The sequence below is a fragment of the Homo sapiens genome, chromosome 13, assembly GCF_000001405.40.
Source record: "Homo sapiens chromosome 13, GRCh38.p14 Primary Assembly".
Classification (NCBI taxonomy): domain Eukaryota; kingdom Metazoa; phylum Chordata; class Mammalia; order Primates; family Hominidae; genus Homo; species Homo sapiens.
This window is the reverse complement of record NC_000013.11, coordinates 42859385-42875760: the sequence shown is the minus strand read 5'-3', so window position 1 is coordinate 42875760 and position 16376 is coordinate 42859385. Positions and strand designations below refer to the sequence as shown.

The 16376-nt window shown below is 42.8% G+C and overlaps 1 long non-coding RNA gene across 2 annotated transcripts in view, besides 3 other annotated features; it reads left to right on the top strand.

Moving 5' to 3' along the window:
• Positions 2322 to 3110: an enhancer, noted in NCBI's record as "OCT4-NANOG-H3K27ac hESC enhancer chr13:43446787-43447575 (GRCh37/hg19 assembly coordinates)". NCBI's record gives its function as "activates a minimal SCP1, AML or CMV promoter by ChIP-STARR-seq in naive H9 embryonic stem cells {active_cell/tissue: H9 hESC(naive)}" and the evidence as "EXISTENCE:reporter gene assay evidence [ECO:0000049][PMID:30033119]".
• Positions 3017 to 16376, top strand: part of LINC00428 (long intergenic non-protein coding RNA 428) — a 30333-nt gene continuing 16973 nt past the window's right edge. Inside the window, exons 1-3 of one of the 2 annotated variants that reach the window (NR_126389.1) lie at positions 3017 to 3203; positions 5059 to 5160; positions 13596 to 13673. This is a non-coding gene — a long non-coding RNA (long intergenic non-protein coding RNA 428). The remainder of the gene's footprint in view (positions 3204 to 5058; positions 5161 to 13595; positions 13674 to 16376) is intronic. The other variant, NR_126388.1, reaches the window with a different exon arrangement.
• Positions 4691 to 5480: an enhancer, noted in NCBI's record as "H3K27ac hESC enhancer chr13:43444417-43445206 (GRCh37/hg19 assembly coordinates)". NCBI's record gives its function as "activates a minimal SCP1, AML or CMV promoter by ChIP-STARR-seq in naive H9 embryonic stem cells {active_cell/tissue: H9 hESC(naive)}" and the evidence as "EXISTENCE:reporter gene assay evidence [ECO:0000049][PMID:30033119]".
• Positions 7104 to 7706: an enhancer, noted in NCBI's record as "OCT4-NANOG hESC enhancer chr13:43442191-43442793 (GRCh37/hg19 assembly coordinates)". NCBI's record gives its function as "activates a minimal SCP1, AML or CMV promoter by ChIP-STARR-seq in naive and primed H9 embryonic stem cells {active_cell/tissue: H9 hESC(naive and primed)}" and the evidence as "EXISTENCE:reporter gene assay evidence [ECO:0000049][PMID:30033119]".

Genomic DNA, 16376 nt, shown 5'->3' with positions numbered 1-16376 from the left:
AGATGCATGTAACATGCATGTTTATTCAGTATGCATGCCATGTTCCCCCTTCATGAATATCTGGACGAAAGACTGCATAGCTCCTCCCGTAACCTGTTGAATATATACATATATTTGGCCAACCTGTTCAACAAAACGTATGTCTCATCCTTCCCTCCCTCGAAGTACCCGCTGACAGAGGCTTCTCACAGAAGCTACACTTCTCAGCCTGTCAGAATGGCCACATTGTAGGCTGCGAGTCTTTATAGCAAACAAAGTCTCCTTTCTAAATTTGTGATTTTTAAGCTGATACCATAGAATTCATCTTTCAAATCAGGACACTTTTAAGAGTGAAATGAAGTGCTAAAAATCCTGGTATCTTTTTTCAAAAATTTACTAACTGACAAATACATTTTTATTTTTTGATGGATCTGCCAAATAATTATTTTGAAACACTATTTCAAAAATATTTTTTCTAGAAAGTAGAATAACATATATCTGTGTACACCAAAGAAAACTTTTAAAACTTCTTTACATATATAAAAAGTAGAAATTTTACAATAATATAATCAGAATAATTACCCCTTTAGTCATTTTTTGAAAACACATTTGTCTCAAATACCATGTCATTCTATTTTTCTAAAGAATGTTTTCTTTTCCTTATATGGTCTTGCTATGTTAAAATTTTAAATAAAATTGTCCCAATATTTTCTTCAAATTTGCATTTAATGACTAATAAATTTGAAATGAACCTTCTCTGTAGACCATATCAGGATTGAGAATATACTCTTTTTAACGTACTTAATTTGTTTAGTTTCTTCATGCTTTGGTGGGGATACACTTTGGTGTCTTCTTGTTTTTAAGACTTGTTACTAATAATTCCAATTGTCTAAACATGTGGAAAGCTAAAGTTTTTTGAAACTCTATTCATTGAAAGTGCTGATCAAAGATTTCTAACTGATTTGGACAAATTCAGCCCAGATTTAGAGAGCTAATTTTTAAAAAGAATTCAACAAAAAGATACTTAGATTGATATACAAATTATTTCTTCAATGCTCAAATATTTCTAAAATTCTCCTTATGGCAGACAGCAAAGAGAGAAAAACACATGATACTGCCTTGTATTTAAAATCATATTTTTGCAAAAACTATAGTTTAGATATTTTAAGTGTATACATATATATCATATTTATAAATTCTTCGTGACTGCTACTATTTTGATTGGTAGATTATCACTACTTGTTTGAGTACAAGTATGAATCATGTTGCACATCTAATTCCCAGTACATTTCTGCTCCATAATTCTTTAGAAAAAACATGCTTTTACAATGACACTGTGCTATGCCAAAATTTGTACTTAATTATGACACAAAGATAACTTTAGTTTGAACTTTTAAAAACAATTTATGATAGCACTGATTCATTTAACTGGATTTACAATGACATCTCACTCTAGTAATATCAGATGTTTTTACCGTCAGCAAAATAAAATTCCAAATGTTTTACTTTGATACCATGAATTGGATGAAAATAAAAGGAATCATTGTTGAAAATAACTGTTTTCCAATATGAAGCATCTGACTCCATTTCTATAAAAGTGGCATCATTTAATTGTTTGAAACTTTTTTTTCTGCCATTGGATCCAGCACCTTACCATCTATCGCTTTGTAGGGGAGGAGACCAGCTTTTCCTCTCTCCATCTTAGGTTCATGGCTGAGGCCCCTATAACAAAAGACAGATGAACCAGAGAAAAGCTTACATGTTTATTTAACATGCATTTTACATGAAATGGGAGCTTTCATAAGGAAATAAATACCTGAAGAAACAGTTAAACCTGTGTATTTTTTAAACCTGTGTATTTTTATGCTGGGTTTGATGAAGAGAGGAGAGTCATAGAGAAATATAATAGGGTGAAAAGTATGACATGATGATTATAAACTGGGGAAACTCAGCAAGGCCAGTTTGTTCAGTTTCCCTTCTGTGACCTTTTGTTTTCAGGGATAAGGATGTTCCTTTCTTCCTGGCATAGAGAGGGCACATCTTACATGAGAGTCTATGACCTCTTTCAGGGGAAGGTCAGAAAATCTTTCCTAGGTTTTATGAACTGCATCAGGGAAGGAGGCTGGGGGAAAGTCAGAGACACTTTCCCGCTTCTGCTGTTTTCCTCAAATTTCTTCCGTTTAAAATATTCAATACGCCAAGGAACCATATTTTGGAGCAGCATGCCCTGAACCCCATCAGCTTCACTTTTTGTATGTGTACAACAGACACAGAGTGCAGATTTAGAGAGGCAGTCATTTGATCCAAATGAAAAGCCATGCTTCACAGGATACTTTCCTTGTCTGCACGTGTCAAGTCCTCATGTTCATGCACAGTATGTATCTCAAATGTACTCTCGAATGAGAGTAGATACTAATAGTTTAGCAGATTCGTGTTTTCTATTTTTCATGTGGTGAGTGATGTCATATAGCCCCCATGGTAAGTGTTGATAAACATTTTGGGATTTATAGGTTTGTCATTAACATTCTCATGAACAAAGTATTTGATTTTCCATTACACATTTCCTTTCACTTTTTGAGCCCATTAATGCCAAAACATTTTTTGCAAAGTTAAAACGTGTTACTGTCAGGCCTCTGAGCCCAAGCCAAGCCATCGCATCCCCCGTGACTTGCACGTATACGCCCAGATGGCCTGAAGTAACTGAAGAATCACAAAAGAAGTGAATATGCCTTGCCCCACCGTAACTGATGACATTCCACCACAAAAGAAGTGTAAATGGCTGGTCCTTGCCTTAACTGATGACATTACCTTGTGAAAGTCCTTTTCCTGGCTCATCCTGGCTCAAAAAGCACCCCCACTGAGCACCTTGCGACCCCCACTCCTACCCGCCAGAGAACAAACCCCCTTTGACTGTAATTTTCCTTTACCTACCCAAATCCTATAAAACGGCCCCACGCTTATTTCCCTTCGCTGACTCTCTTTTCGGACTCAGCCCACCTGCACCCAGGTGAAATAAACAGCTTTACTGCTCTCACACAAAGCCTGTTTGGTGGTCTCTTCACACGGACGCGCATGAAATTTGGTGCTGTGACTCGGATTGGGGGACCTCCCTTGGGAGATCAATCCCCTGTCCTCCTGTTCTTTGCTCCATGAGAAAGATCCACCTACGACCTCAGGTCCTCAGACCGACCAGCCCAAGAAACATCTCACCAATTTCAAATCCGGTAAGCGGCCTCTTTTTACTCTCTTCTCCAACCTCCCTCACTATCCCTCAACCTCTTTCTCCTTTCAATCGTGGCGCCACACTTCAATCTCTCCCTTCTCTTAATTTCAATTCCTTTCATTTTCTGGTAGAGACAAAAGAGACATGTTTTATCCGTGAACCCAAAACTCCGGCGCCGGTCACGGACTGGGAAGGCAGCCTTCCCTTGGTGTTTGATCATTGCAGGGACGCCTCTCTGAGTATACACTCACGTTTCAAGGGTGTCAGACCATGCAGGGACGCCTGCCTTGGTCCTTCACCCTTAGCGGCAAGTCCCGCTTTCCTGGGGCAGGGGCAAGTACCCCTCAACCCCTTCCCCTTCACCCTTAGCAGCAAGTGCTGCTTTCCTGGGGCAGGGGCAAGTACCCCTCAACCCCTTCTCCTTCACCCTTAGCGGCAAGTCCCGCTTTCCTAGGGGGCAAGAACCCCCCAATCGCTTATTTCCGCCGCACCCCAACCTCTTATCTCTGTGCCCCAATCACTTATTTCTGCACCCTGACCTCTTATCTCTGTGCCCCAATCCCTTATTTCCCTGCCCCAACCCCTTCTCTGCTTTCCTGGAGGGCAAGAACCCTCCGCCCCTTCTCCCTGTCTCTACTCTTTTCTCTGGGCTTGCCTCCTTCACTATGGGTAAGCTTCCACCTTCCATTCCTCCTTCTTCTCCCTTAGCCTGTGTTCTCAAAAACTTAAAACCTCTTCAACTCACATCTGACCTAAAACCTAAATGCCTTATTTTCTTCTGCAATGCTGCTTGACCCCAATACAAACTCGACAGTAGTTCCAAATAGCCAGAAAATGGCACTTTGAATTTTTCCATCCTGCAAAATTCAATAATTCTTGTCGTAAAATAGGCAAACAGTCTGAGGTGCCTGACGTCCAGGCATTCTTTTACACATCAGTCCCTTCCTAGTCTCTGTGACCAGTGCAACTCGTCCCAAATCTTCCTTCTTTCCCTCCCGCCTGTCCCCTCAGTACCAACCCCAAGTGTCGCTGAGTCTTTCTAATCTTCCTTTTCTGCAGACCCATCTGACCTCTCCCTTCCTCCCCAGGTTGTTCCTCGCCAGGCCGAGCTAGGTCCCAATTCTTCCTCAGCCTCTGCTCCTCCACCCTATAATCTTTTTATCGCCTCCCCTCCTCACACCTGGTCGGGCTTACAGTTTCGTTCCGTGACTAGCCCTCCCCCTCCTGCCCAGCAATTTACTCTTAAAAAGGTGGCTGGAGCTAAAGGCATAGTCAAGGTTAATGCTCCTTTTTCTTTATCCCAAATCAGAAGCGTTTAGGCTCTTTTTCATCAAATATAAAAATCCAGCCCAGTTCATGACTTGTTTGGCAGCAACCCCGAGACGCTTTACAGCCCTAGACCCTAAAAGGTCAAAAGGCCGTCTTATTCTCAAAATACATTTTATTACCCAATCTGCTCCAGACATTAAAACTCCAAAAATTAAATTCCGGCCCTCAAACCCCACAACAGGATTTAGTTAACCTCGCCTTCAAGGTGTACAATAATAGAAAAAAGTTGCAATTCCTTGCCTCCACTGTGAGACAAACCCCAGCCACATCTCCAGCACACAAGAACTTCCAAATGCCTGAACGGCAGCGGCCAGGCGTTCCTCCAGAACCTCCTCCCACAGGAGCTTGCTACATGTGCCGGGAATCTGGCCACTGGGCCAAGGAATGCCCGCAGCCTGGGATTCCTCCTAAGCCGTGTCCTATCTGTGTGGGACCCCACTGAAAATCGGACTGTTCTACTCACCTGGCAGCCACTCCCAGAGCCCCTGGAACTCTGGCCCAAGGCTCTCTGACTGACTCCTTCCCAGATCTTCTCGGCTTAGCGGCTGAAGACTGACACCGGCCGATCGCCTCGGAAGCCCCCTAGACCATCACGGATGCCGAGCTTCGGGTAACTCTAACAGTGGAAGGTAAGCCCGTCCCCTTCTTAATCAATACGGAGGCTACTCACTCCACATTACCCTCTTTTCAAGGCGTGTTTCCCTTGCCTCCATAACTGTTGTGGGTATTGACGGCCAGGCTTCTAAACCTCTTAAAACTCCCCAACTCTGGTGCCAACTTAGACAACACTCTTTTAAGCACTCCTTTTTAGTTATCCCCACCTGCCCAGTTCCCTTTTTAGGCTGAGACACTTTAACTAAATTATCTGCTTCCCTGACTATTCCTGGACTACAGCTGTATCTCATTGCAGCCCTTCTTCCCAATCCAAAGCCTCCTTTGCGTCCTCCTCTTGTATCCCCCCACCTTAACCCACAAGTATAAGATACCTCTACTCCCTCCTTGGCGACCGATCATGCACCCCTTACCATCTCATTAAAACCTAATTACCCTTACCCCACTCAACACCAATATCCCATCCCGCAGCACGCTTTAAAAAGATTAAAGCCTGTTATCACTCGCCTGCTACAGCATGGCCTTTTAAAGCCTATAAACTCTCCTTACAATTCCCCCATTTTACCTGTCCTAAAACCAGGCAAGCCTTACAAGTTAGTTCAGGATCTGCGCCTTATCAACCAAATTGTTTTGCCTATCCACCCCGTGGTGCCAAACCCATATACTCTCCTATCCTCGATACCTGCCTCTACAACCCATTATTCTGTTCTAGATCTCAAACATGCTTTCTTTACTATTCCTTTGCACCCTTCATCCCAGCCTTTCTTCGCTTTCACTTGGACTGACCCTGACACCCATCAGGCTCAGCAAATTACCTAGGCTGTACTGCCGCAAAGCTTCTCAGACAGCCCCCATTACTTCAATCAAGCCCAAATTTCTTCCTCATCTGTTACCTATCTCGGCATAATTCTCATAAAAACACGTGCTCTCCCTGCCAATCGTGTCCGACTGATCTCTCAAACCCAAGCACCTTCTACAAAACAACTCCTTTCCTTCCTAGGCATGGTTAGCGCGGTCAGAATTTTTACACAAGAGCCAGGACCACACCCTGTAGCCTTTCTGTCCAAACAACTTGACCTTACTGTTTTAGCCTAGCCCTCATGTCTGCGTGCAGCGGCTGCTGCTGCTTTAATACTTTTAGAGGCCCTCAAAATAAGTAGAGGCCTTTCCTACAGGGTCCGAGAAGGCCACCGCAGTCATTTCTTTCGTTCTGTCAGACATAATTCCTCAGTTTAGCCTTCCCACCTTAATACAGTCTGATAACAGATGAGCCTTTATTAGTCAAATCAGCCAAGCATTTTTTCAGGCTCTTAGTATTCAGTGAAACCTTTATATCCCTTATGGTCCTCCAAGAAAAGTAGAATGGACTAAAGGTCTTTTAAAAACACACCTCACCAAGCTCAGCCACCAACTTAAAAAGGACTGGACAATACTTTTACCACTTTCCCTTCTCAGAATTCAGGCCTGTCCTCGTAATGCTACAGGGTACAGCCCATTTAAGGTCCTGTATAGACACTCCTTTTTATTACGCCCCAGTCTCATTCCAGACACCAGACCAACTTAGACTGTGCCTCAAAAAAAACAAAAAAACTTGTCATCCCTACTATCTTCTGTCTACTCATACTCCTATTCACCGTTCTCAACTACTCATACATGCCCTGCTCTTGTTTACACTGCCAGTTTACACTGTTTTTCCAAGCCATCACAGCTGATATCTCCTGGTGCTATCCCCAAACTGCCACTCTTAACTCTTGAAGTAAATAAATAATCTTTGCTGGCAGGACTATGCCAAATCTCCTTAAACACTCTCTAATCAGACATCCTGAGTCGTCCCAATTCTTAGACCTTTTATACCTGTTTTTCTCCTTCTGTTATTCCATTTAGTTTTTCAATTCATACAAAACCGTATCCAGGCCATCACCAATCATTCTATACGACAAATGTTTCTTCTAACAACCCCACAATATCACCCCTTACCACAAGACCTCCCTTCAGCTTAATCTCTCCCACTCTAGGTTCCCACGCCGCCCCTAATCCCGCTCGAAGCAGCCCTGAGAAACATCACCCATTCTCTCTCCATACCACCCCCCAAAAAATTTTCGCCGCCCCAACACTTCAACACTATTTTGTTTTATTCTTCTTATTAATATAAGAAGGCAGGAATATCAGGCCTCTGAGCCCAAGCCAAGCCATCGCATCCCCTGTGACTTGCACGTATACGCCCAGATGGCCTGAAGTAACTGAAGAATCACAAAAGAAGTGAATATGCCTTGCCCCACCGTAACTGATGACATTCCACCACAAAAGAAGTGTAAATGGCCGGTCCTTGCCTTAACTGATGACATTACCTTGTGAAAGTCCTTTTCCTGGCTCATCCTGGCTCAAAAAGCACCCCCACTGAGCACCTTGCGACCCCCACTCCTACCCGCCAGAGAACAAACCCCCTTTGACTGTAATTTTCCTTTACTGACCCAAATCCTATAAAACGGCCCCACCCTTATCTCTCTTCGCTGACTCTCTTTTCGGACTCAGCCCACCTGTACCCAGGTGAAATAAACAGCTTTATTGCTCACACAAAGCCTGTTTGGTGGTCTCTTCACACGGACGTGCATGAAAGTTACCAAATAATATTATTTAATAGTTGTCGATTTATACAGCATACCATTAATGTTAAAACCGCTGTTGCAAGAGCATTTAGACTCTTTCTTCATATGCTATGTGGCAGGAATTCTTGACCTCTATTTTCCATAAATATTGTATATATACCTAGACTAAAATGTCCGGTGTTTTCCACTGACAGCACTGAATGGCATCCTGCTATCTTCAGGCATCTCAAATTGAAGTCACTACAGTTGGCTGGTACATCAAGGGGCCAGCAGGGACCACAGCACCAAATCTTCTCTCACCATTATCCCAGATAAAAAGAGTGTGCTGCCTGTAGCTGCTAGCACCCTTTCTTTGATAAGGGAGCACCCCATAAGCTGTCCTGGAAAGGAAGGTGTTAGTTAAGTTGTGTTGCAGGTTGGATTCTCCGGAGGCAGATGCCTAGAAGTTTAGGGCCCGAGGTTTATTTGGCACCAACACCTGTGGAAGAGAGAAGAAGCAGGATTGGGCAGTGAAAGATGTCCAGCAGTGATATGGGCATGACAAAGTCTTGGCCAGAGGCTGTCTCTGTACCACCCACAGTGGGGTATGTGCAGTGCAGTGACATGATGATAGCTCACTGCAGCCTCAACCTCCCAGGCTCAGGCAATCCTCCTGCCTCAGCCTCCTCAAGTCCTCCTTTGAAGAGGTAGCTGGACATCACATCGTTGTCTACCACGTAGTGTGTCTAGATAAGGCTGGGAAAAGTGAGGTGGGTTATCCCTGGGCATCCTCTGGTTTAACAAGAGTAGGAACTCAGTTGACTGCTCTTGTTTCGTATACCATTAGACAAGTCCACAGCAGAAAGTGAAAGCACTGCCAGGTACAGTGACTCATGCCTGTATTCCTAGTGTTTAGGGAGACTGAGGCAGGAGGATCGCTTGAGGCCAGGTGTTTGAGACCAGCCTGGGCAACATAGCAAGACCCTGTCTCTACAAAAATTTAAAAAATTAGCCAGGTGTGGTGGTACACACCTGTAGTGCCATCTACTCAGCAGGTTGAGGGAGGAGGATCACTTAACCCGGGAGGCCGAGGCTGCAGTGAGCTATGATCACACCAATGCACTTCAGCCTGGGCAACAGATTGAGAGCCTGTCTCAAAAAAAAAAAAAAAAAAAAAAGTGAAGGCACCAAGTGGCAATTGTCAGAGGCTGTGGCCTACTCAGGAAGCAGACTTGGAGATGGAGAGTGGTGGACAGGAGGTTTGCTAGGGAGTGGTCTTGGGATCACCACCTCTGGAAGGGGAAAGGAAGAAGGATGGGGCAGGAAGAGAAGTTGGCTGATGCATTAGTCAGGGTTCACTAGAGGGAAAGAACTAATAGGATAGATGTATATATGAAGGGGAGTTTATTAGGAAGAATCAACTCACAAGATCACAAGGTGAAGTCCCACAATAGGCTGTCTGCAAGCTAAGGAGCAAGGAAGCCAGTCTGAGTTCCAAAACCTCAAAAGTAGGGAAGCCGACAATGTGGCCTTCAGTCTGTGGCCGTAAGCTCGAGAGCCCCTGGCAAACCACTGGTCTAAGTCCAAGAGTCCAAAAGCTGAAGAGCTTGGAGTCTGATGTTCAAGAGCAGGAAGGATTCAGCAAGAGAGAAAGATGGAAGGCCAGAAGACTCAGTAAGTCTGCTCTTTCTACCTTTTTCAGCCTGCTTTATTCTAGCAGCTGATTAGATGGTGCCCACCCAGACTGCAGGTGGGTCTGCCTCTCCCAGTCCACTGACTCAAATGTTAATCTCCTTTGACAACACCCTCCCAGACACACCCAGGAACAATACCTTGCATCTTTCAATTCAATCAAGTTGACACTCAATCTTAACCATCACAGCCTATGATTCAGCCTCAACAGAGAGCAACCACATGGCCAGCTCTAGACAAAGTGGGGGCCAGACCTTTATATCTCCTTATAAACCAGTTCTTGGCTGTGGGCACCCTGGGAAGAGGGCATGGTGGTGGGTGAGATGACACTCTTCATTTGAAGCAATTCCGATGAGGGCTGACAGCTGGGGATCTCTGCCAGAAGCCCTCGCTGCAGCTGGTGGAGTAGCCCTTCAGTCTTGAGGAGACTCTGGGATGACATCACAGCATCTGCTCCAGAAGTCTGCTGAACCCATCCTGGCTAACTGTAATGCAACTATTAACCATAATACTTTCCTTTAAAAATCTCAGACAAATGCTGAAAGAGATAAGATACTGAGACAGGAAGTGTAAGCTGGGACTGTCCTAAGCGAATCAGGAAAAAGTTATCCTGTCTATAATGAAGTTCAGGGAGAAAGAACAGCTTACATTAACAGCCTTGAAGGTAAGTTGCTGGTCCAGAAACCTTTTGAGTTAATTTACTTGGTTTCACTTGGGTTTCACCCAGATGCAAAAGGATTTAAGTCGATTATTTAATCCATTATTTTCTGTGGTGTAGCATGGCAGTGCTTTTGCATGTTGCAGCGTTTTCTTTCATTTTCAGCAGCCCCTCCTCTCCATTTAATCACTGTGTCTGCTGCCCTGTCCTAATCGCTCAGCAGACACCCCCCTGGCATCCCAGACACTCTGGCTGCGTGTCCCGTGCATGATTATTTGGCCCTCACCCTGTACTCCACTTCACACTCCCTTAGGCTATGAGCAGAGGATTTTTGTCACAATTGTAAAACATAGAAACTCATCTCCACCAATCCTTTCAAAGAGCCCAGGGAGTCTGAGCTGTTCCAAATGAGAAGCTTCTGCTACAAGAGCATGGCCAGAGACTCTGGCTACCAGAGGGAGGCTGGTGCATTTCATTTCATTGTGAACTCCAACCAGGGTGTCTCGAAGGTTAAAATACCTTTACTTAGCGCTCAATCACTGTCGCACCTGGTACACAGTGCTGTAAAATTAGGAGGGAAGAAGAGAGCAGGAGAAGCCCTGGATTCAACATCAGGAGACCTGGGGTCCAGCCCTTCCCAGCCTCTGGCACTCAGGTTCTCCATGGATCAGGTCTTATTCAGGTTATCATTCCCACCGCCTAGGAAAGTGTCTGGTTGAGTGGGTGCTAAGAAAAAATGTTTTCCTTTCTCCCTGGACATAGCTTGCATAAGGAATGAAGACAATGAGTGTGTGTAGGGGGAAAACGCTAAGGAGCTAGAAAAGTTTTTCATTCCATGGTGCAGTGTTCCTTTCTCTAGCCCCACCACCGAAAGCACAAGACCCTTTCCCTGACTTTATATCTTACCACACAGTTCAGCAACCCAGTGAAAAGATCCTTATTAAAATTTTATTTATTAATTTTTTTTAAGAATAGAGACAGGATCTCACTATATTGCCCAGGTTGGTCTTAAACTCTTAGCCTCAAGTGATCGTCCCACCTCGGCTTCCCAAAGTGCTGGGATTACAGGTGTGAGGCCACTGAGCCTGGCCAAGTGAAAAGATCTTAACGCTCCCAACATCACATAACTCTCCTGGGAGATGGTGGTGGGAGGATTTTATATGGACTTGTTTGGATATGTGTTCACCCTTGGACCAAACCTTATGTCCAGGATTGCAGAGTACTGTGATTAGGCAGACCTAAATACTGTACTGTTTTTTTTTTTTTTTTTTTTTTTTGAGACGGAGTCTCGCTCTCTCTCCCAGTCTGGAGTGCAGTGGTGCGATCTCGGCTCACTGCAAGCTCTGCCTCCCGGGTTCACGCCATTCTCCTGCCTCAGCCTCCCGAGTAGCTGGGACTACAGGCACCGGCCACCACGCCCAGCTAATTTTTTGTATTTTTAGTAGAGACCAGGTTTCACCGTGTTAGCCAGGATGGTCTCGGTCTCCCGACCTCGTGATCCACCTGCCTCCGCCTCCCAAAGTGCTGGGATTACAGGCATGAGCCACCGCGCCCGGCTGATACTGCAGTTTTTTTTGTTGTTGTTTTGTTTTTTCTTTACTATTCTCTACTTCTTGCTATATTCTGTTGAATACATGTCGAATTTTTTCTTCTATTCTTCCCCTTCCTTAATCCCCCTTGCCTATTTCATATTTCTTTGTATTGGATTGTACTGCATTTTGTGTTACTTCCTCAAATATATCTTGTAGTTTACTAATTCTCTCTAGAGCTGGTTTTCATTTGCTACTTAACCTACTCATTGAGTTTTTACATTTTAATAAAGTTTTAATGTTAATTACCTACAGTCACGTGTTTTGTTTTTATTTTTGACTTGCCTCTCCTTTATTCATAGCCCAGCTCTTTCATTTTAGTTTCCGTACTTATTTTATAATCTCTTTCGATTGTTTTATCAGCTACTTTGGAAATCAGTGTTGCGCCTCCTGATTGATGTGTCTGCTGATTTTCCTTCAGGTGGTTTCATTTCTTGTGTTGTTTGTAGTTTTTACTGTTAGCTCCTGCTAAACTGGGGTTGTTTTTCTATGTAAATCATGCCCCCGCCATGGCTCAATTTTGCATTTACTTTTGCAAGTAAAATTTAGGGTTTCACTACTGTAGGAGCAGTTTTTATAATCTCTTGGTTTGAGTTTATTAAACTGGTTAGGGTTTGTAACTTCTGCTACCGTATCTGGCTGTGGGCTTTCAATTTCACAGGCGATTTTGTTTTCCATTCAGATTCCCTGTGATTCCTTTTCCCTTCCCTCAGCTGGTGGGTAGAGTTTTTACAGTTTTCTTTATCCAAACAGAGCAGTCCTTTGAGGAACCTCTCTCTAGGCAGGAGTCTTATTTCCAGCTTCTTGCCTCTCAGAGCCCCAGACCCCTGTCTCCTTTGCTTACATTGCTTACGTACAGTGTAAATCCCATTCAGAGCTGATATCCTACTCACACCCTCTGAGATTCTTCTCTCATCAGTTGTGATAATTACCAGTCTTGTTTTGAGTTATGTTTTTATTCTGATTTCTCAAAGATTTCCTCCTTTCCTCTTTCCTTTTATTTCCTTCTTTCTTCTGAGTATAGGATTTTATTCTATATTATTGCTCTATACTTTAACCCAACATTCCTATGTGTTTTCAATAGGATCAGTAGTATCTGGGTGTAGTGGTGATGTTGGCGGAAGGATGTAAATTAATTTTGTTCATGTTGCCCAAGGATCTTGAATGATCTTTGAAGAATGAAATAAATCATATCACTCTGCAGGTTAAATCATTTCATTGACTTGCTATTGCACTTAAACTCCAAACTCCTTCTTTTGGGTTTATATGTCTTATAGAAGTTGACCCCTATCTCCCCATGTAACCAGGGCTTAAGCTTTTCTTTGCATCATTCAAACTGCCTTCTTTCTTGCTTTAGAGTCATTGTTCTAGCTGTCCTTCTGCCTGAAATGGTCCCTAGATCTTTGCATGGACATGTACATTCTGACATCCAGAACACAGAATTGTCACCTTCTGTGCTACTCCGTTTTCATGCTGCTGATAAAGACTGGGTAATTTATACAGGAAAAAGGTTTAATGAACTCACACTTCCACATGGCTGAGGAGGCCTCACAATAATGGTGAAAGGCAAGGAGGAGCAAGTCACGTCTTACATGAATGGCAGCAGGCAAAGAGAGAGCTTGTGCAGGGAAACTCCACCTTATAAAGTCATCAGATCTCATGAGACTTATTCACTATCATAAGAACAGCATGGGAAAGACCTGCCTCCATGATTCAGTTACCTCCCACTGGGTCCCTCCCACAACACCTGGGAATTCAAAATGAGATTCAGGTGGGGACACAGCCAAACCATATCACCTTCCCAAAAAGAGTTTTCCTGATCACCCTATCACTCCCTCCCTCTCATAACACCCTGTTTCATAGTCTACATGAAACATATCACTATGTTAATTATACTTTTAATTTATGTTTTTACTTGTTTATTTCAGAGGCCAGGCTAACAGGGACTGCTGATGGGGAAATAAAGAAATAATCAAGGATGAATCCTATATCTGGGGCTTGAGCAAGTGAGTAGATGCTTGTAAGAGAAATAGGTGTAAGATGGAAATCAAGAGTTCTGTTTTGAAAATATTTATGTTTAATATTTTTGTTCTTTATCCTAATGAATAAATCAAGTAAGAAGTTGGATATGAAAGTCTGGAACTCAAGCAGAAGTCAGGGAGATATACAAGCTTAAGTGTCATCTGCATAGAGATAATATTTAAAGCCACACTAGTAGATGGTAGCACCCAGGGGAAGAGAAAAGTGTTGTTAGAAAAGACAAGGCAGGCCAGGCGTGGTGGCTCACGCCTGTAATCCCAGCACTTTGGGAGGCTGAGGTGGGTGGATCATGAGGTCAGGAGATCAAGACCATCCTGGCTAACACGGTGAAACCTCCTCTCTACTAAAAATACAAAAAATTAGCTGGGCATGGTGGTGGGTACCTGTAGTCCCAGCTACTTGGGAGGCTGAGGCAGGAGAATGGAGTGAACCCAGGAAGGCGGAGCTTGCAGTGAGCCGAGATCACACCACTGCACTCCAGCCTGGGCGACAGAGCGAGACTCCATCTCAAAAAAAAAAAAAGACAAGGCAATACATCTTGAACATCTTGCGAAACAATCTCCAATGTGGCATAGTCAGAGCTACAGGATAATGCCACTGAATGAATATATGTACAATGAAGGAAGGGCTTTACATGAAGAAATTAAGCAGTATTATCAGAAATTTACTTAATTACCTTAACCCTTGCTTCTGCCGGTCAGAGGTTTGATGCCTGGAAACTCTAGTGATGGATGCTATGGATTTTCACGAGAGAATATAAATAAAATTTATTGGTTCTCTCTTTAACCTGACTTGACCTGCCCAAACAAATATACAGAGTGATTTTGTAAATATTAGTTCTTTCCTGCTTGTCCATGGGAGCGGGTGTGGTGGGTTCTGACACAGATGACACCTGAATATTATCTATTATTAAACACAGCTATGATCTAAATCTCTGAGAAGCTTTATCTTGTAAGTAGCCCTGAAGGCTACTGAGAATAGACCAGAAAAGAATTTTTTTCCCTTCTCATTTTGGGGAGAAAACTCATAGAATTGGGAAGCTTCTTTATCCTGCAGAGGAACAAGGCAACATTACCAAATCTCTTCAGATGATTTAGTCCAAGGTGGGAATTATGCTCTGATATTTTGAGATATATGATAAGGTTGAAAAACAGTCAACTGTGGTTCTGGTAATAGAATGAACAGGCTCTCCGTCTGCTCTGGCTTCCTCCAGCTACAGATCACCATCTCAGGTTTAAATCTAACTTGCTGCTCTCATTGTCTTCCAGACTTATTTAAGCTATAAAAGGTTTGCCTAGAGATGTGGATTGTTTATGTAGAGTGTGAGGTGCAACTGTACAATATATCCATGACTTTGCTTTATGATTTCAGTCAAAGCAAAATGAAAGGCTCATTATCACTCGTGCTCGGGAAGCAATGGGGAATATTTTAAATTTCACGTTTTCACTGGTCTGTCATCAAGAACAGGACTAAAGTTCCAAATGAGATGCATTTTCTATAATGCATGTGGTGCCTTATCTTGAAATAGCTGTTGTCTTTGTCATTCTGATTTGCTGAGCAGACAGCTGGAAATTAAACAATAAAAAATAACTTTCTGTACATGACATTTCATTTTTGGATAACCAGCAGCCCAAATTCCGGGGCATTGGGATTAGTATATTTATCTCCACAGGTGCCCACAAATGAAATGAAATGTCACCTAAAGCACTATACCCACTTCATTGCTATTATACCCCAAAGTTTCCTCCAGTAAAATATTTTATTAAAATTAAATGAAAAAGCAAAACCTGTGCAATGGTTGTTCAAGCAGCTTTAATGAGCTTTAGAATGGAGCACATCCCCGACAATTCTTCCATAGGTATTTTACTATGCACAGGAAAACTGTTCAAAGAATATTATACTATACCATTCTTTCCTCATCTTCTTGGCTGTGTGTTGAATCAATTAAATTGCAACTTATAAATTACCGGTTAAAATATCTAAGAAAATAGCTTTTGTTTCTATTTATAGGTACAGTATGCACTTCCTGAAAATGTTTGCCATCTCACTGAATCATTTTCTCCTTTCTCATCACCTAGTTGTTCATTTAGCAAATATTTATTTATGTGCCATGCTAGTTTGTTCATAGGGTAACAATTGTGAGCAAGATAATAGAGGTCTCTGGGCCCTTATGAAGTTTATAATTTGGCCAAATAGATAACAGCAAAAACAGCAGGAACATCATCTTGTCATCCTATTAAGTATTTTCTATTTTGCCAGATACTGTTCTAGGTGAAGTCATGTATTCAATCGCCTAATTATTATGATAAGATAATCATTACACAGATGCAGGAAGGTCCTAGGAGAAAGATTCCATTATTACCCCCATTGTCTGGAAAAGAAAACAGAGGCAGAGGGAAATTTTAAGCAATTTGCCCCAGGACATGTAGCTTGGAAGTAGAACTAACAATGCTAACAGTAAAATGATGAATATTATGATACAGGAAGTTCAGGATATTGTAAGAACATGAAGTAGAGGCTCTTGACCCAGTACCTGAGCCAGCTTGGTCTGCTGTAACAAAATATTATAGATTGAGAGGCTTAAACTACAGACCTTTATTTTCTCAGAGTTCTGAAGGGTGGAAAGTCCAAGATCAAGGTCTAGCAGTGTTCACTTTGGGGTAAGGACC